The sequence below is a fragment of the Homo sapiens genome, chromosome 7, assembly GCF_000001405.40.
Source record: "Homo sapiens chromosome 7, GRCh38.p14 Primary Assembly".
Classification (NCBI taxonomy): domain Eukaryota; kingdom Metazoa; phylum Chordata; class Mammalia; order Primates; family Hominidae; genus Homo; species Homo sapiens.
Genome location: NC_000007.14, coordinates 100,323,476 through 100,344,279, shown reverse-complemented (window position 1 = coordinate 100,344,279; position 20,804 = coordinate 100,323,476). Strand labels below are relative to the sequence as shown.

Genomic DNA, 20,804 nt, shown 5'->3' with positions numbered 1-20,804 from the left:
TGTCTGCGCCGGGAAATCATCCTCTGACCTGTTCACAAGTCTTCTAGATGAAGATTTTCAGCAGGTTTGGATCTATTTAAAAAGTGGTAACTGCAAAGAGGCACCTAATCCACTTGGATTTGCCTGTTTTTGAGAGGTACTCCTGGCAGTTATGAAGGTCATTAAAATTAAGTATCAGAATAAATTGAACTTTTTTTTTTTTTTTTTGAAACAGAGTCTCGTCCAGTTGCCAGGCTGGAGTGCAGTGGTGCAATCTCGGTTCACTGCAACCTCCGTCTCCCGGGTTCAAGCGATTCTCCTGTCTGAGCCTCCTGAGTAGCTGGGACTACAGGCGCATGCCACCAATTTTGTTGTATTTTTAGTAGAGACAGGGTTTCACCATGTTGGCCAGGATGGTCTCAATCTCTTGACCTCCTGATCTGCCCACCCTGGCCTCCCAAAGTGCTGGGATTACAGGCCTGAGCCACCGCACCCAGCACTAAACTGAACTTTCAACTGAACTTCAGAAAATGTTGAACCATGATTTAAAAAAATGTTTCTCACTTTGTTCTCACTAAACCCTTTTTTGAAAGTAAAGGGTGGCCGGGCGCGGTGGCTCACGCCTATAATCTCAGCACTTTGGGAGGCCGAGGCGGGCGGATCATGAGGTCAGGAAATCGAGACCATCCTGACTAACACAGTGAAACCTCGTCTCTACTAAAAATACAAAAGGTAGCTGGGCATGGTGGCGGGCGCCCGTAGTCCCAGCTACTCGGGAGGCTAAGGCAGGAGAATGGCGTGAACCCAGGAGGTGGAGCTTGCAGTGAGCTGAGATCGTGCCACTGCAATTCCAGCCTGGGTGACAGACCGAGACTCCGTCTCAAAAAAAAAAAAAAAAAAAAAAAAAAAAAAGAGCAAAAAGGTATTTTGCAGTGCTAACCAATGAAATATTTTAAAACACTTATTTCAACTCATGTGTTACATTTTTAATGTGTATAATATAGAAGAATTAGTATATGTTTATATAACTTACAATTTTTAAAAAAACCTTGATATAAATGTCCTAACATTGGGAGTCTTATGACTCTAAGGCCCAGTTCCAGTTGCTTTGGCTACGTAACAAACCCCTCCAGACTGAGTGCTGTCAACCACCATCTTATTATGCTCATGGACTCCACAGTCAGGAATTTGCAAAGTGCACAGAAAAGATGGGCTGTCTCTGCTCCCTGATGTCTGGACCTCAGCTGGGAAAACTGAAAAACAGGGGAGGTTGGAATCATCTGACTCCCGTCTTGACTGAGTCTGGCAGCCAACATGGATGTTGGCTGGGACCTCGGTGAGGACTGCTGGCAAGAACACCTACACACGGCCTTTTCCTTTGACTGCTGGCCTTGCTCACAGAATGGTGACCGGGTTCCCAGTGTGAACCCAGGTACAGGAAGAGACAGGAAACGGAAACTGCCAGTTTCCTTAAAATCTGGGCCCACTAACTAGCATGGCATCATTTCCACCATCTTCTATTAGTCAAGCATCACGAAGCCCATATTCAAGAGGAGACAACCTAGACCCAGCCTCTCAATAAACAGTGTCAAAGGCTTTAGAGAGCATGGTGTCAAGCTCCCAGATTCTAAGGCTGTGACTCAACCCAGTGCACTGGGCTGCCTGGCTGTACACAGGTGTCCATATTGATGCAAAGCCCCCAAGCTGCTCTTATCCTCTTGTGAAGCACCCTTAGCTTGGTTGGTATTTAAATAACTCAGGAATCGTTCCCCTCCTGGATTCTTAAAGACCTCCGCATCTTCTCCTCAGTTCTCCCACTCTGTTCCCTCATCCCACAAAACAGGCTCCTTTCCCCAGAACTATTCTACCTGAATACAGGCTAAAGATCGCCGAATGAGTTAGCCTTCCCCCACACCCCAGCTCGGACTCCCCCAGGGCTACCTTTCCAAAAGGAGACTCACAACTCAATTTCTTCTAGCTTTCATCTGGGAGGGGCAGGTGGGGGAGGGGAGGGAGAATGGAAGGGGCGAGGCGGTCTTGGCTGAGTGACCTGATCGCAGGAAGTCACGGCTCCTTCTGCACAGATCACTAGCTGGATGGCTGTGTCTGGCCTAGGAGACCACAGTGAGAACCTGTCACTAAAGCAGGTGCCCATGATGGGAAGAACTAGAAATTATATCTAAAGAGAAAGGCTGAAGCATTCCTTAAACCACAAAAGAAAACAGTGAAAGTACAAAATGACAACATCTGTCTTCAAATACTGCTTGTCAGAGGGACAAGAGAGAAGAGAGGTGCTGTGCTGCTCCACAAGGCAAAACAAGAGCAAACAAGTCTGTCTGAGTTTCAAGAGGCTGGCCCTGAGGCTGCACTGTGGCAGTCTAGGTGAGAGACGATGGTGACAATGTGTGGAGGACATAGGCCAGAGAATTTTCTTCACCAAGTCTTGACAGAATTTGGTGAAGAACTAGCTGGAGAAGGCAAGAGTGAAGGTGACATTGTCACTTGGATTTTAGGGTTGGACATTTAGAGTAACTCCTTAGTTTCCTTTTAACTCTCAGATACTGTGATTTGATCAAATTCCAAATTATGACAGGTATCTTTCGGATGAGAGGATAAAATTTCCTTTGGAAAGAACCCATGGATGAAGGCTGCCAGGACACAGGGTCTGGCCTGGCTCACGTGGGTGAGACAGGTAGTTTCACAAGGTCCTGCTCCACTCTGCCACCTGTCAGCACAACTTTTACTACTGCAGAGGCTGAGGCCACTAGATAAACTACTCACAGGCAGTCAAACTCTCCCCATCTCTACTGCCTCACCCCGCCTCTCAGTTACTAAGCAATACTTCCTGGAGAGCCTGTAGACAAAGCACCTGCGGGGTGTGGGGACACCTATACACTGGGCCATGGGACAAGGCGGACCAAGAACCTGACCTCCATCAGTTTAACGATCTCAAGCCACACCTTGGGAACGTGTGGATTCAAACATGTTTATTGAGTGAATCATTAGGACACAAAATAGGCTGAAAAAGATGTTCCAAAAATCCAGGAGACTATGGGCTACTTCCATTAAACACAGAGGTGCTGCCCTTCTCCACTCCAAACAGAACAGGAAAAAGGCAAGGGGACTGGGCCACAGTGCATTAGGGAGGACAGGGTCTCTCGGCTTCTCTACCCCAACATCACCAGAGGGAAAGGTTAGGTTAGAAAAACAATGCCCCACTCTTTCCCCTCAGAGCCCAGGGCTGAAGCCTGGGGGAATGCTTCATTTTGCTCCTTTTCTCTTTGCCTTTTCCAAATGGTCACATTCTTGAGGTAGGGAGTGGAGCTGGGGAGGGGCCCAGAGTCCTGTCAGAAATCCTATAATGAGAAAGATGAAAGGAATACACAGGTGCACCACCACGCCCAGCTACCTTTTCGTATTTTTAGTAGAGATGGGGTTTCGCCATGTTGGCCAGGCTGGTCTCGAACTCCTGACCTCAAGTGATCTGCCCGTCTTGGCCTCCCAAAGTGCTGGAGTTACAGGTGTGAGCCACTGCACCCGGCCTCCATACCTCTTTTAAAAACCAATTTTGAAAGTTCATTCAGGCTGGGCATGGTGGCCAAAAATTAGCCAAGCATGGTGGCGGGTGCCTGTAGTCCCAGCTACTTGGCAGGCTGAGGCAGGAGAATCGCCTGAACCCGGGAGGCGGAGGTGCAGTGAGCCAAGATCGCGTCACTGCACTCCAGCCTGGTGACAGAGCAAGACTCCGTTTCAAATAAAAAACTAACACACTGTACAACTGCATGTAAGGTGGAAAAGACAACTGGAATTAAAATGTGCTCAGGTCCTTGTAGAAGATAAGAAATCCAGAGGAAAGTAAGCAAAGGGGGAAAAAGAAACAGAAAAGATAAAACGAATGTACCAACTCAATACTAGGCCATAAGGCTAAGTCTCCATAAATGTCTTTTTTTTTTTTTTTTTTTGAGACAGAGTATCACTCTGTTACCCAGGCTGGAGTGCCATGGCACAATCTCAGCTCACTGCAACCTCCACCTCCTGGGTTCAAGCAATTCTCATGCCTCAGCCTCCCAAGTGGCTGGGATTACAGACAAATGCCACCACATGCAGCTAATTTTTGTATTTTTAGTAGAGATGGGGTTTCGCCATGTTGGCCAGGCTGGTCTCGAACTCCTGGCCTCAAGTGATCTGCCTGCCTCAGCCTCCCCAAGTGCTGGGATCACAGCTGTGAGCCACTGCGCCCAGCCCCTACATAAATTTCAAACACCACATTCCCTGACTACAACACAATAAAGTTAGAAATCAAATAACGAAAATATAACTAGCAAAATTCTGTATGTTTGAAAATTTTAAATATTTTCCCAGAAACTATAAAATTACACATTAATGTGGATAAATCTCAAACAATGTTAACTGAAATAATTAAATCACAGAAGCCTGAATAATGGATTCATTTACATAATTAAAGAACACATTCATAGTGGTAACACTATAATGAAATGACAAAGATTAACACAAAATTCACCCTAGTGTTTACCTATGGGTAATAAGGGGACTGTGAGGTAGGGTAGAAAGAAGGTACACAAAGGATCTCTACAGCACTATTAATGTTTCATTTCTTGAGCTGGGGCTAGAGATCTGGGTGATATCTCATTTTTATTTTTTAAACTACATATACGCTTTGTACACTTTCAGATATTAGAACTTCAATAAAATTATAAAAAAAGAAACAGAGAGAGGGAAAAATAATTAAGTATAATTGTCAAGATGGAGCTAAAAAATAACATGGGTGAACAAGGTGCCACCCACATCTAAGCTTCCTTCCCATGTCATGCAATGCCTCTCCCCATCTGCTCCATCAATCAACAAAGGCATAATCACTCCTGTGATACCTTTAAGAAAAGAACACGCTTTAAGAAAAGAAACGCTCTCTCGAAGCCGGGTGCGGTGGCTCACACCTGTAATCCCAGCACTTTGGGAGGCCGAGGCAGGCGGATCACCTGAGGTCAGGAGTTGGAGACCAGCCTGGCCGACATGGCGAAACCCCATCTCTACTAAAAATACAGAAATTAGCTAGGCATGGTGGCACATGCCTGTAAGCCCAGCTACTTGGGAGGCTGAGGCATAAGAATCGCTTGAACCCAGGAGGCAGAGGCTGCAGTGAGCTGAGACTGTGCCACTGCACTCCAGCCTGGGCAACAGAAAGAGACTCTGTCTCAAAAAAAAAAAAAAAAGAACATGCTCTCTTATTCAAGGTTACCCTTCTATCACTCCAAGGATTCACCCCATAATCTTATCTTTCTTGATATGTTACACTCACTAAAATGTTCACATCAAATCAAGTTTGTAGACACTTGTCCTTACCACCTTACAAAAAGTGAGATGGTATCAACAGAGGTAAGACACTGCTTTACCTGCATGTCACTTTTGGCAGCTTTCGCAGCATTGAAAAGATCATTGGCTGGTGGCTCTGACTGTTTCCAGCTATGACGATGTACCACTTGGGACCCTTTCTTTGGATGTTTTGCCACCTGATACACATAAAAAGATCAGAAATATGAAAAAAAGGTAACAGTGACATTAACACTTGGTTTCATCATTATCACACAAGTAGGCTTACGCTGCCAATTCCACAGCAGAGTCTGAGTTAGACTCAGTCCTAAAATAATTGATTTTTATATTATGAAGTTTATTAACTTTTTTCCCTTTAAAAAAAAATTCCTTGAGTCCCCTTCCTGTATCTCTATAACCAAACATCCTTTTCTTTTCTTTTCTCTTCGAAATTTCTCTTCTTCCTATTTCCGTCCCTTAATACTTTGTAAATCTTGTCCTTTTTTGAACCATATCACCTGAACCTCTTAGGTTTTCTCTTTTTTTTGAGACTGAGTCTCGCTCTGTCGCCCAGGCTGGCGTGCAGTGGCGTGATCTCGGCTCACTGCCAGCTCTGCCCCCGGGGTTCGTGCCATTCTCCTGTCTCAGCCTCCCGAATAGCTGGGCTGCTTCCCTGACAAGATTCAAAAACAAAACTGGCTGACTCACCGGCATTGTTTTCAGTGGTCGTTTTGTTGCTTTCTTCTTCACACCGCGATTGAAGCTGTCCTCAAATCATTTTCTTGTCTTCTTGTCTATTTGTATGAATTACTGAGTTACATTCTCATTGCTACTTATTTAAGCAAAGTATTCTTAGTTTGTTAACAACAAAGAACTACAAATTGTGTTCATTTTCTGTCCTTTCCTGTTCTTAGACTAAATTACCTGAAATACATCAAAATATATGCTGTATGCTTACCTATATCAAAACTATGTTGTTTAGGTGCCGGGCACGGTGGCTCACACCTGTAATCCCAGCACTTTGGGAGTTCAAGGCGGGCGGATCGCCTGAGGTCAGGAGTTCAAGACCAGCCTGGTCAACATGGCAAAACCCCGTCTCTACTAAAAATACAAAAATTAGCCAGGTGCAGTGGACAGCGCCTGTAATCTCAGCTACTCATGAGGCTGAGGCCTGAGAATTCCTTGAACCCAGGAGGCCAAGGTGGCAGTGAGCCGAGATCATGCCACTGCACTCCAGCCTGGGTGACAGAGTGAAACTCCGTCTGAAAAAAACAAACAAACAAAAACAAACAAAAAACCAGACCATATTGTTTAGGGATACTTAGCTGACAAAATAATAGAGACAAGCAGGACATAATTACCATAAAAATCGGGCCCTGGGATGTTGGTGGGGAAGGTTTAAGTGGAAAGAATGGAGCGGTCACAATGTGTGTCAACCTGGGAGGTGGTGACCCTGGGGTTCGCTTTGTAATTCCTCAAAATGAGCATTTATGTGCTACTCACTTTTCAGAGGATAGAATTCTGAACTAAAATGTTTAAGCAGCCATACGCAAAAAAAAAGAAAAAATATGGATAGATTTTTATTTTAATTAAAACATTTAAAAAATAGAGACAAGGCAGCTGGGCGTGGTGGCTCACGCCTGTAATCCCAGCAATTTGGGAGGCCGAGGCAGGCGAATCACGAGGTCAGGAGATCGAGACCATCCTGGCTAACACGGTGAAACCATGTCTCTACTAAAAATACAAAAAAAAGTTAGCCAGGCATGGTGGCGGGCGCCTGTAGTCCCATCTACTGGGGAGGCTGAGGCAGGAGAATGGCGTGAACCCGGGAGGTGGAGCTTGCAGTGAGCCGAGATCAGGCCACTGCATTCCAGCCTGGGCGACAGAGCAAGACTCCAACTCAAAAAAAAAAAAAAACATAGAGACAAGGGTCTTGCTATGTTGCTCAGGGTGGTCTCAAACTCTCCGGGCTCAAGCAATCCTCCCGCTTCGGTCTCCCAAAGCGCTGAGATTCCAGGCGTGAACCACCGCGCTCGACCAGGAAAGATATATATATATATAATATATATTTTATAATATATCATGTTATATATTACACATAATATACAATATGTATAATACGCATAATAAAGGTATATTTAACATATATAAAAATATATATATATATAATAATTTTTTTTTTGAGACGGAGTTTCACTCTTGCTGCCCAGGCTCGAGTGCAATGGCTCGATCTCAGCTCACTGCAAGCTCCGCCTCCAGGGTTCAAACCATTCTCCTGCCTCAGCCTCCCGAGTAGCTGGGATTACAGGCGCCCGACACATGCCCGGCTAATTTTTGCATTTTTAGTAGAGACGAGGTTTCACCATGTTGGCCAGACTGGTCTCGAACTCTTGATCTCAGGTGATCCGCCCGCCTCGGCCTCCCAAAGTGCCGGGATTACAGGCGTGAGCCACGGCGCCCGGCCTGAATAAATCTTTTAAAACATAAAAATCTGGGTGACCCCCTGGCCGGCCGGCACAGATGCCGGGGTGGGGCCGCGAATCGGTTGGGACGCACTCTATCCGGCCTAGGGGCACCTGGGCCAGCAACGGGCCGCCGCGCGTGCGCAGTGGGCGGGGGGGCCCCGCGCTCCTACCTGCAAGTGGCCAGTGCCGAGTGCTGGGCCGCCGCTCCTGCCGTGCATGTTGGGGAGCCAGTACATGCAGGTGGGCTCCACACGGAGAGGGGCGCCGACCCCGTGATAGGGCTTTACCTGGTACATCGGGGTGGCGCGTGCCAGACACCAACGGTCGGAAACCGCCAGACACCAACGCTCGGAATCCACGCCAGGCCACGACGGAGGGCGACTACCTCCCTTCTGACCCTGCTGCTGGCGTTCGGAAAAAACGCAGTCCGGTGTGCTCTGATTGGTCCAGGCTCTTTGACGTCACGGACTCGACCTTTGACAGAGCCACTAGGCGAAAAGGAGAGACGGGAAGTATTTTTTCCGCCCCGCCCGGAAAGGGTGGAGCACAACGTCGAAAGCAGCCGTTGGGAGCCCAGGAGGCGGGGCGCCTGTGGGAGCCGTGGAGGGAACTTTCCCAGTCCCCGAGGCGGATCCGGTGTTGCATCCTTGGAGCGAGCTGAGAGCTCGAGGTGAGCTGGGCTCGCGGTCGCCCCTCTCGCGCGCCCTCTTTAAGAACCACGGCGTCCAACCTCCCTGGAAATGGGGGGAACATGGCCGAGGCGCGTGGCGAGGCCGCCTCGTGGAGGCCCCGGAGCGGCATCCTCAGCGCCCCAGCGATCCGGTGCCCATTAGGTGCGCCTTGAAGCCGAGGCAAGCTCCTTCGGGGTGCTGGGCTGCGGGCAAAGAATTCGGCCCTGTGAAGAGTTGGGTTCGGCCTGTCTCAGGCCCTGCCCACATCCCATCACAGGGCCGTGGACTTGAAGCCGGAACGTGAAATCCCTATAGACTGAATGCATTTCCTTCCTACCTGTTCTCTCTCCCCTTTTATTTTTATTTTTATATTATTTTATTTTTAATTTTTACTTTATTTTTTTGTAGAGACGGGGATTTAGCTATGTTGCCCAAGCTGGTCTGGAACTCCGGAGCTCAAGCAGTCCGCCCGCCTTGGCCCCCCAAAGCGCTGGAATTACAGGCGTAATGCACTGTGCCTGGCCTTTAAAAAAAAATTGAGGTTATTTTGGGGACAGTAGAGCGTCCAGACACATCCTAATTTGCATAGCTGCGCAGTTTTAAAAAATGCAATGCATTTTTACCTGTTAGGGTATGTGATTTCTGGCTAGTAAGCTACACCGAATCTTGGCTAGCACAGTTGAATTCCATGTCAGATTTGTAAACGCAAATTTGCTCTCTGCATTTAAATATATTAGATATATTTAGGTAACTACATTTAAATGTATTGAGACATTTAAATAAATTTGCCGTCTGTATCTAAATATCTGAAGTGGACCAGGTGCGGTGGCTCACACCTATAATCCCATCACTTTGGGAGGCCAAGGCAAGTGGATCATGAGGTCAGGAGTTCACGACCAGCCTGGCCAACATGGTGAAATCCCATTTCTACTAAAAATACAAAAATTAGCTGGGCGTGGTGGCAGGCGCCTGTAATCCTAGCTACTTGGGAGGCTGAGGCAGGAGAATCGCTGGAACCCAGGAGACAGAGGTTGCAGTGAGCTGAGATTGCACCACTGCAGTCTAGCCTGGGTGACACAGCAAGACTCCATCTCAAAAAAAAAAAAGAAAAAAAATCAGAACTGGACCTGTAGCCTGTAGTGTGTTGCCAAATAAACTTATTTTTAGAGATACTTCTTTCCATTTTCTGTGAGGTCATCTGCAGTTTCACATGGTAGACAGACTTTGGTGAGATTCTTAGCAACATAGAATGAAGAGTAAAGAGGTTTGTTTATTTCACAAGGGTTTATTTAAGGCCTACAATGTGTTAAATGCTGTAGGAAATACCCACTGATTTCTCTTTTCATGGAGGTTTCCTGCCTTCTCTTAACGAGTGATCAATTAAACTGTTTACTGGAACTTGCTAAGTTAGTGAACACACGGGATACATTCTTTGGATGAGCAGACATTGGTTGGGCAGAGGAGCAAGAGGAGAGCAGTTTAGACAGAGACCTGCTTATACACTGTAGTGTTTAAAAGAGCTTGTGATGTTCAGGAAACAGTTGTTCACTGTGCTGCAATATAGGGGACGGCCAGTTGCGGTGGCTCACACCTGTAATCCTAGTGCTTTGGAAGGCCAAGGCGGGCAGATCACCTGAGGTCAGGAGTTAGAAACCAGCCTGGCCAACATGGTGAAACCCCATCTCTATTAAAAACACAAAAATTAGCTGAGTGTAATGGTGGGTGCCTATAATCCCAGCAACTTGGGAGGCTGAGACAGGAGAATCACTTGAACTTGGGAGGTGGAGGTTGCAGTGAGCCGAGATCATGCCATTGCACTCTAGCCCAGGTGAGAGGGTGAGACTCTGTCTCAAATAATAATAATAGTAATAATAATGTAGGGGACTTGATGAAGGGAAAGGATTAGAGAGATTCTGAAAAGAAGGTAGTTTGGGGCCCAGTGATGACTAGATTTTAAGTTTCATATAGTAGGAAGTGGGGCACTAGTAATTTTTCAAGCAGAAAAATTATTTGACCAGATTCGTGATTTCAAAAATAGCTCTGGTGATAGAGTGGAGGATGGGTTGGAGCAGGGAATAAGGGGAAATGAAACCGTTATAAAACTCTTAAAGCGGGCCGGGCGTGGTGGCTAACGCCTGTAATCCCAGCACTTTGGGAGGCTGAGGCAGGCGGATCACGAAGTCAGGAGATCGAGACCATCCTGGCTAAAACGGTGAAACCCTGTCTCTACTAAAAATACAAAAAATTAGCTGGGCATGGTGGTGGGCGCCTGTAGTCCCAGCCACTCAGGAGGCTGAGGCAGGAGAATGGCGTGAACCCGGGAGGCAGAGCTTGCAGTGAGCCAAGATCGTGCCACTACACTCCAGCCTGGGCGACAGGGCGACAGAGCAAGACTCCGTCTCAAAAAAAAAAAAACAAAAAACAACAAAAAAAAACTCTTAAAGCAAGTACAGCAAGAACTTTGAGGGTCTTTGCTAAGACAGCAGCTGGCAGCTTCAATCTGGAGTAGGGTATCAAAGGCAACTGTGTATAAGGAATAGTTATATAACTGGTATCCAATTTCTGAGATGATTTTGACTGAAAACATTGTGTATTTCCCAGCATACTGTTGGTTTTTCTAATTATGTGGGAAATTATGTTGCTTTTACTTTTTTTTTTGCTCATTGCCCAGCCTGGGGTGCAATGCTGCAATCTCAGCTCACTGCAACCTCCGCCTCCCAGGTTTAAGCGATTCTCCTGCCCCAGCCTCCCAAGTAGCTGGCATTACAGGCGCCCACCACCATGCCTGGCTAATTTTTTATATTTTTGGTAGAGACAGGGTTTCACGATGTTGGCCAGGCTGGTCTCAAACTCCTGATCTCAAGTGATCCGCCTGCCTCTGTGTCCCAAATTGCTGGGATTACAGGCATGAGCCACCGCACCGGCCATGCTTTCAGTTTTCAAGAAAGAAGACACCATTATTGCCAAAGATTTTGGTAATTTGAGAGATACAATGTATGTTTTCTCCATGTGGATACTAGGTAGTAAGGATCTGTTGAATTTGAAGTGTCTATCCAGAAGTATTTTGGGTACTTGTTTAAGGATTGTAAAACAATGTTTCCATTTCTGGATATAATAAATGTATTTGTTAATATAATAAATGAATAGATTAGACCCGTAAACTATTTGCAGTGTTGAGTCATTTCCCACAGTTAAAATCAGGATGAAAATATATAGCTGAATACTTGCTTTGTTTCTTGTAACTGATTTCTTTAGTACAGAACCTGCTAAGGCCATCAAACCTATTGATCGGAAGTCAGTCCATCAGATTTGCTCTGGGCCGGTGGTACCGAGTCTAAGCACTGCGGTGAAGGAGTTAGTAGAAAACAGTCTGGATGCTGGTGCCACTAATATTGGTAAGTTTGGGAGAGTTTTAAGCCACAAGAAATGATCAGTGAATGTTGTTGTAGTCAAGAAACATTTGTTATTGAAATAAGACTATCAAGTGTTGATGTAGTAATAAATTATTATTTTTAAGTTAAAGTTAGCACCTATTATGTGCCTAGTACTTAGCTAGGTAGTAATAATAATAACAACAGCTTTTATTGTGTTCTTATGGTGCGCCAGGCAGGTGTTATGCTAAGAGTTGCACAGAAATATCTCATTTAATTTGCAGAATAGCTGGGCGTGGTGTTTCACGCCTGTAATCCTAGCCCTTTGAGAGGCTGAGGTGGGGGGATTGCTTGAAGCCAAGAGTTCAAGACCAACCTGGCCAACATGGTGAGACCTCGTCTCTATTAAAAAATAAAGTAGGCCGGGTGTGGTGGCTCATGCCTGTAATCCCAGCACTTTGGGAGGCCAAGGCGGGTGGATACCTGAGGTCAGGAATTCGAGACCAGCCTGTCCAAAATGGTGAAACTCTGTCTCTACTAAAAATACAAAAATTAGCCAGACCTGGTGGCAGAAGCCTGTAATCCCAGCTACTGGGGAGGCTCAGGAATGAGAATTGTTTAAACCTGGGAGGTGGAGGTTGCAGTGAACCGAGATTGTGCCACTGCACGGCAGCCTGGGGACAGAGCAAGACTCCGTCTCAAAACAATAAAATAAAATAAAATAAAATAAAATAAATCCTGGAGTAGTGGCTCACATCTGTAATCCCAGCACTTTGGGAGGCTGAGGGGGGCTGATGCTTTGAGGTCAGGAGTTCAAGACCAGCCTAACCAACGTGGTAAAACCCTGTCTCTACTAAAAATAGAAAAATTAGCCAGATGTGATGGTGCATGGCTGTAATCTCAGCTCCTCAGAAGGCTGAGGGAGGAGAATTGCTTAAACCTGGGAGGTGGAGGTTGCAGTGAGCCAAGATCGATTGTGCCACTGCATTCCAGCCTGGGTGACAAGAGCAAAAGTCAATCTCAAAAAATTAAAAAAAAAAAAAAAGGAAAGAAAAAAAAGAAAATGACAAAATAAAAAGACAAAAAATTATTAATCTGCCAAATAACTTTATGAGATAGAACTTATTACCTCCATTTTACAGTTGAGGAAATTAAGGGACAGTAAATTACCTTTTTTGGAGATTATAAAGCTAATAAAATAGAATCTAGGAAGTCTGATTCCAGAACCAGTTCTGTTTTTTTTCTTTTTTTTTTTTTTGAGATGGAGTTTTGCTCTTGTTGCCGAGGCTGCGGTGCAATGGCACGATCTCAACTCACTGCAACCTCCGCCTCCCAGGTTCAAGCGATTCTCCTGCCTCAGCCTCACCAGTAGCTGGGATTACAGGCATGCACCACCACACCTGGCTAATTTTGTATTTTTAGTAGAGATAGAGTTTCTCCATGTTGGTCAGGCTGGTCTCGAACTACTGACCTCAGGTGATCCGCTCGCTTTGGTCTCCCAAAGTGCTGGGATTACAGGCATGAACCACCGCGCCTGGCCCCCGTTCTCCTTACTGGGTATGTTAAAATTATTTCTTTCAAAGGAAAAGGCTGGTCAAAGTGCAACGGTCTTTACAACTAATTGATCACAACCAGTTACAGATTTTTTTGTTCCTTCTCCACTCCAACTGCTTCACTTGACTAGCATAAGGAAAAAAAAAAAAAGAGGAAAGAAAGAAAATGCTAAACTATTTAATCTGGGCTAGTAAATAGCCAGAAAGAACTTTATAAAAATGAAATATACAAAATGACACTAGTATGTTTAACTAAAGGTCTAGTTACGACACTTAAATTTGCACGTTATAAATAATATCAATATAAAAACTGATAGCATGGGTCCATTTTTAATAAATATATAAATATTTTAAACTTTCTAGATCTAAAGCTTAAGGACTATGGAGTGGATCTCATTGAAGTTTCAGGCAATGGATGTGGGGTAGAAGAAGAAAACTTCGAAGGCTTAAGTAAGTTAACTTTTTCTAATCCTATTATAAAATAATTGGGCCACATGTCTTAGAATTTTGAGTAACACTGTCTTGGGAAACACAAAAACAGTTTTTTAAAGCCAGTTACTAGATATCATGTATATTTGTTGTTATAGCACTTAAGATATCTTAGTCCTTACTTTATACTCTCTTTCAGCTCTGAAACATCACACATCTAAGATTCAAGAGTTTGCCGACCTACCTCAGGTTGAAACTTTTGGCTTTCGGGGGGAAGCTCTGAGCTCACTTTGTGCACTGAGGTGATAAAATATTTTTATCCATTCACTTGACCCCTTAGAAAAACCTCTCTGAAAATTAATTGGAATCATTATTATTTACAGTTTTCTGTCTCAATATCTCAGCTTCCAGCTTCTGAATTCTGTTTTGTCTCACTGCCAATCTAAGTCCTAGTACTTCTGAAATGTGAGCAATAAATGAATGAAATGAAGCAAATAGTATTGTTAAAAAAATTGGTTACCCTTATTAAAACAGTAACTTCTCAATTTGAACATAACATATAGATAATAAATGATAGTTACCATTGGTTTTCATTATCAATTTTTAGGGAAACATTTCACCAAAGCACTATTTAATTATAGCACAGATACTAAATTTTTATAAATAATTATATGCACACACACACACACACATATATATACATATATATATATATATATATATATATATATATATATATTTTTTTTTTTTTTTTTTTTTTTTTAGACAGAGTCACACTCTGTCACCCAGGCTGGAGTGCAGTGGCACAGTCTCAGCTCACTGCAGTCTCTGCCTCCCAGGTTCAAGTGACTTTCATGCCTCAGCCTCCTGAAGAGCTGGGACTATAGCGTGCACCACCACTCCTGGCTAATTTTTGTATTTTTAGTAGAGATGGGGTTTTGCCATGTTGCCCAGGCTGGCCTGGAACTCCAGGCCTCAAGTGATCTGCCCTCCTTGGCCTCCCAAAGTGCTGGAATTACAGGCACGAGCCACCACACCCTGCCCTACATATACATTTTAATTATAATATCTTTTGGATTCTTTAAAAAAATTTTTTTAAATTTTTAAAAATTCTTTAAAAAAATTCTTTTAAAAAATTTTGTTTGAAGAGTAATAACAAAACAAATCTCTATTTGAGAATCAATAAATCTTGAGATCATTTATGGTTTTGCAATTCAACCTGAAAAATGAAGTCAAAGCTTTTATCAAAACAAAGCATGTTTAGTGCTCTCTGTCTCACTGTCTTTTAGATGCCAGACCTTAGATTTTATGATGACTCCTCAACCGTTTAGATCTCGGTTATCTCAGAGGGATCATCAGCTTTTTAAGAAAATTTTGAGAGAAAAGCAAGTGAAGAAAAGAGTAGTCAGTGCCCAACATCACGGATCTCTCACTGAACACACCATGCCTGGTATTCTCTCACAGTGATGTCACCATTTCTACCTGCCATGTATCGGCGAAGGTTGGGACTCGACTGGTGTTTGATCACTATGGGAAAATCATCCAGAAAACCCCCTACCCCCACCCCAGAGGGATGACAGTCAGTGTGAAGCAGTTATTTTCTACGCTACCTGTGCACCATAAAGAATTTCAAAGGAATATTAAGAAGGTACAGTAAATTAATCCTGGTTTTCAAGAATATTGGTTAATGCACATGAGCAAAAGATTTACTAAAGATGTTTATTCTTCAGTTGATTCCCTTCCCCTAATTTATTGAGAAATGCTTTATTTGCATTTCTCATTAAAGACTTAACTTCAGAATGATTTACTTTTTTCTTTTTATCACATAGTGTTTATTAGGACTGGGAAACATAGTGAGACTCTGTCTCTATGAAAAATTAAAAAAAAAATTGACTGGGCATGGTGGCATGCACCTGTAGTTCCAGCTACTTGGGAGGCTGAAGTGGGAGGATCACTTGAGCCCGGGAACTTGAGACTGCAGTGAGCTATGATTGCGTCACTGCACTTCAGACTGTGAGACAGAGTAAGACCCTGTCTGGAAAAATATATATACATATATATACATTTTTTTTATTTTTTATTTTTATCTTTTTTTGAGATGGAGTCTCACTTTGGTGCCCTGGTTGCAGTGCAGTGGCGCGATCTCAGTTCACTGCAACCTCCACCTGCCAAGTTCAAGCGATTCTCCTGCTTCAGCCTTCTGAGTAGCTACCATTACAGGCACGCGCCACCACGCCCAGCTAATTTTTGTATTTTCAGTGGAGACGGGGTTCCACCATGTTGTCCAGGCTGGCCAGGCTGGTCTTGAATTCCTGCCCTCAGGTGATCCGCCCACCTCGGCCTCTCAAAGTGCTGGGATTACAGGTGTGAGCCACCATGCCTGACCTTATGTACTTATATTTTTATGAGAATATTTCTCTTGGTTTTCTGATAAATGAGTTACTGGAACCCTTATGAATTTGAATGCAAATGAAACAGCTAAATGTTATATAATTGTTGTGTTTAAAAAGCAGATTATAAAACTGTCTATATTATATGATTACAGTTTTATGAAAACAAAACAACAGGCCTAAATGTGTATAGTATAAAGACTGGAAGAGTCAGCACTTCCATGTTCTCAGCGGTTATCCTTGGATGTGAGATCTCATGCACTTTTTGCTCTCTTCTTTGTGCCTTTCCATTTTGCATGCATATTTCTTATAATCTAAAAAGTTACTTAAACATATGCAGCTAAAAACTTTTTTTACTTGTAAAGCATTCGGTGCTAATTTTAACTTTTTTTTTTTAGACGGAGTCTTCTCACTCTGTCGCCCAGGCTGGAGTGCAGTGGTGTGATCTTGGCTCACTGCAACCTCCGCCTCCTGGGTTCAAGTGATTCTCCTACCTCAGCCTCCCGAGTAGCTGGGATTATAGGTGTGTGTCACCACACCCAGCTAATTTTTGTATTTTTAGTAGAGATGGGGTTTCACCATGTTGGCCAGGCTGGTCTTGCACCCCTGACCTCAAGTGATCTGCCCACCTCAGCCTCCCAAAGTGCTGGGATTACAGGCGTGAGCCACCACGCCCGGCTTTTTTTTTAAAGCTTTTTTGTAAGTCAGCCAGCAAGAACACAGGAGGAAGTACTCAAATCTCCCTTACACAGCTCGGGGCTATGTCAGGTTTTATAAGCGTAGGGTAATGAGGTGTGATTTGATTGGATCTTGCAATAAAGTAATGCTGGGAGATGTGATCTGACTGGATCCTGCCATGGGGTGACGCCAAAACTCAATCTGATTGGATCCTGGCTCCTGCCTTGGGGTGTCTGGTTCTTAAATCGGTCCGAGCTCTTCAGGCTGAGCTCTTAGGTTCCACTCCACGGTGGCACGCTTGGTTAACCTGGGCATGCACAGGGTACATGACCTTCAACCTGCGGGTCGATGGCAATTGAAAAACAACTGACAACTTCATTACATAAAAGTTGAACTGATTCGGGTGCGGTGACTCACGCCTGTAATCCCAGCACTTTGGGAGGCCAAGGCAGGTGGATCACCTGAGGTCGAGGAGTTCAAGACCAGCCTGGCCAAAATGGTGAAACCCCGTCTCTACTAAAAATATAAATATTAGCCAGGCGTGGTGGCGCACCCTTGTAATCCCAGCTACCCCAGAGGCTGAGGCAGCAGAATGCTTGAACCTAGGACGTGGAGGTTGCAGTGAGCTGAGATCGTGCCATTGCACTCCAGCCTGGGTGACAAGAGCGAAACTCCATCAAAAAAAAAAAAAAAAAAAGTTGAACTAGATTTGGTCTGATGCAGTTACAGATTTACAAACCGCGTCCCACCCTCCTGCCGACACCTTCCACTCCTCATTCTTGAGGGATTAGGGATGGAGGTCATGCTTCTGTATCGACTTCATGCTGACTAGGGGCACTTAGTCCCCTAAAGTGAGAGGAATGAAACTCTTGGGCTTCTGAGTTCAAATGAGTTCTGGGGTCACCTGGAGTAGCTTGAAAGGCTGGTATTGTTGTAATACAAGCTGAAGGTGGAAGTGTTGGATCCTGGAGGACAAACAGCTCACCATCCATTTAAATAAATAGGACCAAAAAGTAACAGAACAGTGGCCACGAGGCGCCCCAACAGAGGAAGAAACCAGGTGAGGTGTGGTATAGTGGACTCGACTGCCTTCTAAATCTCAGTGGTTGGCCAGGTGCGGTGGCTCACGCCTGTAATTCCAGCAAAAGAAGAGCCGAGGCAGGGTGATCACGAGGTCAGGAGTTCAAGACCAGCCTGGCAAACATGGTGAAACCCCGTCTCTACTGAAAATACAAAAATTAGCCAGGTGTGGTGGCGTGTGCTGTAGTCCCAGCTACTAGGGAGGCTGAGGCAGGAGAATTGCTTGAACCTGGGAGGCGGAGGTTGCAGTGAGCCGAGATTGTGCCACTGCACTCCAGCCTAGGTAACAGAGCGGGACTCCATCTCAGTCAATCAATCTCAGTGGTTGTACTACCCTTGATATGGTTCAGCTCCGTATCCCCACCCAAATCTCATGTCAAATTGCAATTCCCAGTGTTGAGGGAGGGACCTGGTAGGAGGTGATTGGCTCATGGCGGCTGACGTCCCCCTTGCTGTTCTCATGATAGTGAGTGAGCGCTCATGGGATCTGGTTGTTTAGAAGCATGCACCACCTCCCGCTTCACTCTCTCTGTCTCTCCTGCTCCACCATGGCCAGAAACGTGCCTGCTTCCCCTTCGCCTTCTGCCGTGATTGTCAGTTTCCTGAGGCCTCCCCAGCCATGCTTCCTGTACAGCCTGCAGAACTGTGAGTCAATTAAACCTGTTTTCTTCATAAATTCCCCAGTTTCCAGTAGTTCTTTATAGCAGTGTGAAAACAGACTAATGGACCCTTCTGGTTGAAGGAATGTAGCCATTCTGCTTGTTTGACTATTTCCTTTCTATTCATCTCTATTTCCCGGGAGGTGTTTATCCAAGTGCAATAGGAGATATTGGTGACTGCAGAGTCCCCTCAGTGTTCTGCTAGTAAATAGTTGAAGGTTGATCAGTGATCTCCTGCATTTTCAGTCTGGCATGGAAAAGCCCCCATGTAACTGGTAAAGGTATCAGTAAGCACCAGGAGGTATCTAAATCCACCAGGAGCCATAGGCATCATGTTGACGTCCATTTACCAGTCTTCCCTGGCAAGATTCTCTGAATTGTACTGCCTTGGCCAAAAGAGGTATGGGAGGGGCTGGGCACAGTGGCTCACGCCTGTAATCCCAGCATTTTGGGAGACCAATTCGGGTAGATCATTAGAGGTCAGGGGTTCAAGACCATCCTGGCCAACATGGTGACATTCCATCTCTACTAAAAATACAAAAAGTTAGCTGGGTTTGGTGTTGGGTGCCTGTAATCCCAGCTACTCGGGAGGCTGAGGCAGGATAATCACTTGAACCTGGGAGGTGGAGGTGGCAGTGAGCTGAGATCTCGCCATTGCACTCCAGCCTGGGCAACAAGAGCGAAACTTCATCTCAAAAAATAAAGAAGTCTGGGTGCGGTGGCTCGTGCCTGTAATCCCAGGACTTTGGGAGGCCAAGACGGGTGGATCATGAGGTCAGGAGTTCAAGACCAGCCTGGCCTAGATGGTGAAACCCTGTCTCGAGTAAAAATACAAATATTAGCTGGGCATGGTGGCACACACCTGTAATCTCAGCTACTCAGAAGTCTGAGACAGAAGAATTGCCAAAACCCGGGAGGGAGAGGTTGCAGTGAGCCGAGATCGCGCCACTGCACTCTAGCCTGGGCGACAGAGCAAGACTCTGTCTCGAAAGAAAGAAAGAGAAAGGAAATTCCCCAGGGAAGTACCTCCGCTTATTTCATGAAGAGGTACTGAAGGAAGCAGAGGCATGTGGAGGACTTCCCCACCTCGTGCAGCTATTTGGGCCGTGGCGTCTGAAATTTCTTATTTCAGAGTCACCCCTTTGATGACCTTGGCAGTGGACTGCAGTCATCTGTTTAGGCCTCTCCATGGCCCGCGTCAATGCCGGTATTTCTGTCTGTTGCGCATTTGATTTCCTTGTTGTTGGCATTTAGAAGGCCCCCTGTTTCCCAGATCACACCACGGGCATGGACCGCAGAGATTGCGTCTTGTGAGTCTGTAGAAACAGTCAAGGCCTTGTCCTCTCTTAGGTCCAGAGCTCAGGTTAATGCAGATTTTCCCGGCCGTCTGTGCTGAACTCCCTGCGGGGAGGCTCCTGGCTGGTTTCCTGTAGGTAGACAGCTACACATCCTGCCCTTCATTGGCTTCTTTTCATGAAGCTCCTGCTGTCTACAAAACATGTCTCCCTTTTCTTCTTGAACCACATCTCTGTTATTGAAACTCTAGAAGTCAGCCAGGCACGGTGGCTATGCCTGTAATCCCAGCACTTTGGGAGGCCAAGGTGGGCGGATCACCTGAGGTCAGGAGTTCAAGACCAGCCTGGCCAACATGGCGAAACCCTGTCTCTAATACAAATACTAAAATTAGCCAAGCATGGTGGCCGCTGCACTCCAGCCTGGGCGACAGAGCAAGACTCTGTCTCAAATAAAGAAAGAGAAAGTATCATGCTTTTCAGAGTTCTGTGGGTTGTTATAGTGAATTATCAAACCTGAGGACGTGGTGGGAACCTCCAAATTTGCAGCCAGTTGGTGAGAAGTACATGCAGTCTGTGGACACCCAAGCTTGCAGCTGCATCTGAAGCGAGGGCAGCCTAGCGGGGGCTGGTGGCCTTAACCTGTAGCATTTGATGTAACATCAGGGAGTTGACATCAGAATTACGTCACACAGGCCAGGTGCAGTGGCTCATGCTTATAATCCCAGCAATTAGAAAGGCAAGATAAGAAGATCGCTTGAGCTTCAGTCTGAGCCCGCAGTGAGCTGTGACCGCACCACTGCACCCCAGTCTGGGTGACAGCACAAGACCCCGACTCCAAAAATAAAAAAGAAAAATCACAAAGAATTGCATGGCAGAGCGCCTGTCTTTCACAGCTTGAACTGTTGC

At 45.3% G+C, this 20,804-nt stretch overlaps 1 long non-coding RNA gene and 2 pseudogenes across 4 annotated transcripts in view, besides 3 other annotated features; 1 reads left to right on the top strand and 2 right to left on the bottom strand.

Annotated features, from left to right (window-relative positions):
* STAG3L5P-PVRIG2P-PILRB (STAG3L5P-PVRIG2P-PILRB readthrough) overlaps window positions 1-8,215 on the bottom strand; it is a 31,767-nt gene extending 23,552 nt beyond the window's left edge. For both annotated transcript variants that reach the window (NR_036570.1, NR_036569.1), the window contains exons 1-3: window positions 7,943-8,215; window positions 6,016-6,101; window positions 5,391-5,507 (exon numbers count right to left, since the gene is read on the bottom strand). This is a non-coding gene — a long non-coding RNA (STAG3L5P-PVRIG2P-PILRB readthrough). The remainder of the gene's footprint in view (window positions 1-5,390; window positions 5,508-6,015; window positions 6,102-7,942) is intronic.
* STAG3L5P (STAG3 cohesin complex component like 5, pseudogene) lies at window positions 2,952-8,201 on the bottom strand (annotated as a pseudogene). Its single transcript, NR_103720.1, has 4 exons — window positions 8,060-8,201; window positions 6,016-6,101; window positions 5,391-5,507; window positions 2,952-3,335 (listed from the first exon to the last, which is right to left on the bottom strand). The product of NR_103720.1 is annotated as an STAG3 cohesin complex component like 5, pseudogene (transcript).
* Window positions 7,847-7,916: a silencer, noted in NCBI's record as "silent region_18430". NCBI's record gives its function as "represses an Ori minimal core promoter by ATAC-STARR-seq in GM12878 lymphoblastoid cells {active_cell/tissue: GM12878}" and the evidence as "EXISTENCE:reporter gene assay evidence [ECO:0000049][PMID:35858748]".
* PMS2P1 (PMS1 homolog 2, mismatch repair system component pseudogene 1) overlaps window positions 7,973-20,804 on the top strand; it is a 15,668-nt pseudogene continuing 2,836 nt past the window's right edge. Inside the window, exons 1-6 of the transcript NR_003613.1 lie at window positions 7,973-8,442; window positions 11,699-11,838; window positions 13,731-13,817; window positions 13,996-14,098; window positions 15,261-15,444; window positions 18,501-18,589. The product of NR_003613.1 is annotated as a PMS1 homolog 2, mismatch repair system component pseudogene 1 (transcript). The remainder of the gene's footprint in view (window positions 8,443-11,698; window positions 11,839-13,730; window positions 13,818-13,995; window positions 14,099-15,260; window positions 15,445-18,500; window positions 18,590-20,804) is intronic.
* Window positions 8,235-9,113: an enhancer, noted in NCBI's record as "H3K27ac hESC enhancer chr7:99932790-99933668 (GRCh37/hg19 assembly coordinates)". NCBI's record gives its function as "activates a minimal SCP1, AML or CMV promoter by ChIP-STARR-seq in naive H9 embryonic stem cells {active_cell/tissue: H9 hESC(naive)}" and the evidence as "EXISTENCE:reporter gene assay evidence [ECO:0000049][PMID:30033119]".
* Window positions 8,407-8,546: an enhancer, noted in NCBI's record as "active region_26354". NCBI's record gives its function as "activates an Ori minimal core promoter by ATAC-STARR-seq in GM12878 lymphoblastoid cells {active_cell/tissue: GM12878}" and the evidence as "EXISTENCE:reporter gene assay evidence [ECO:0000049][PMID:35858748]".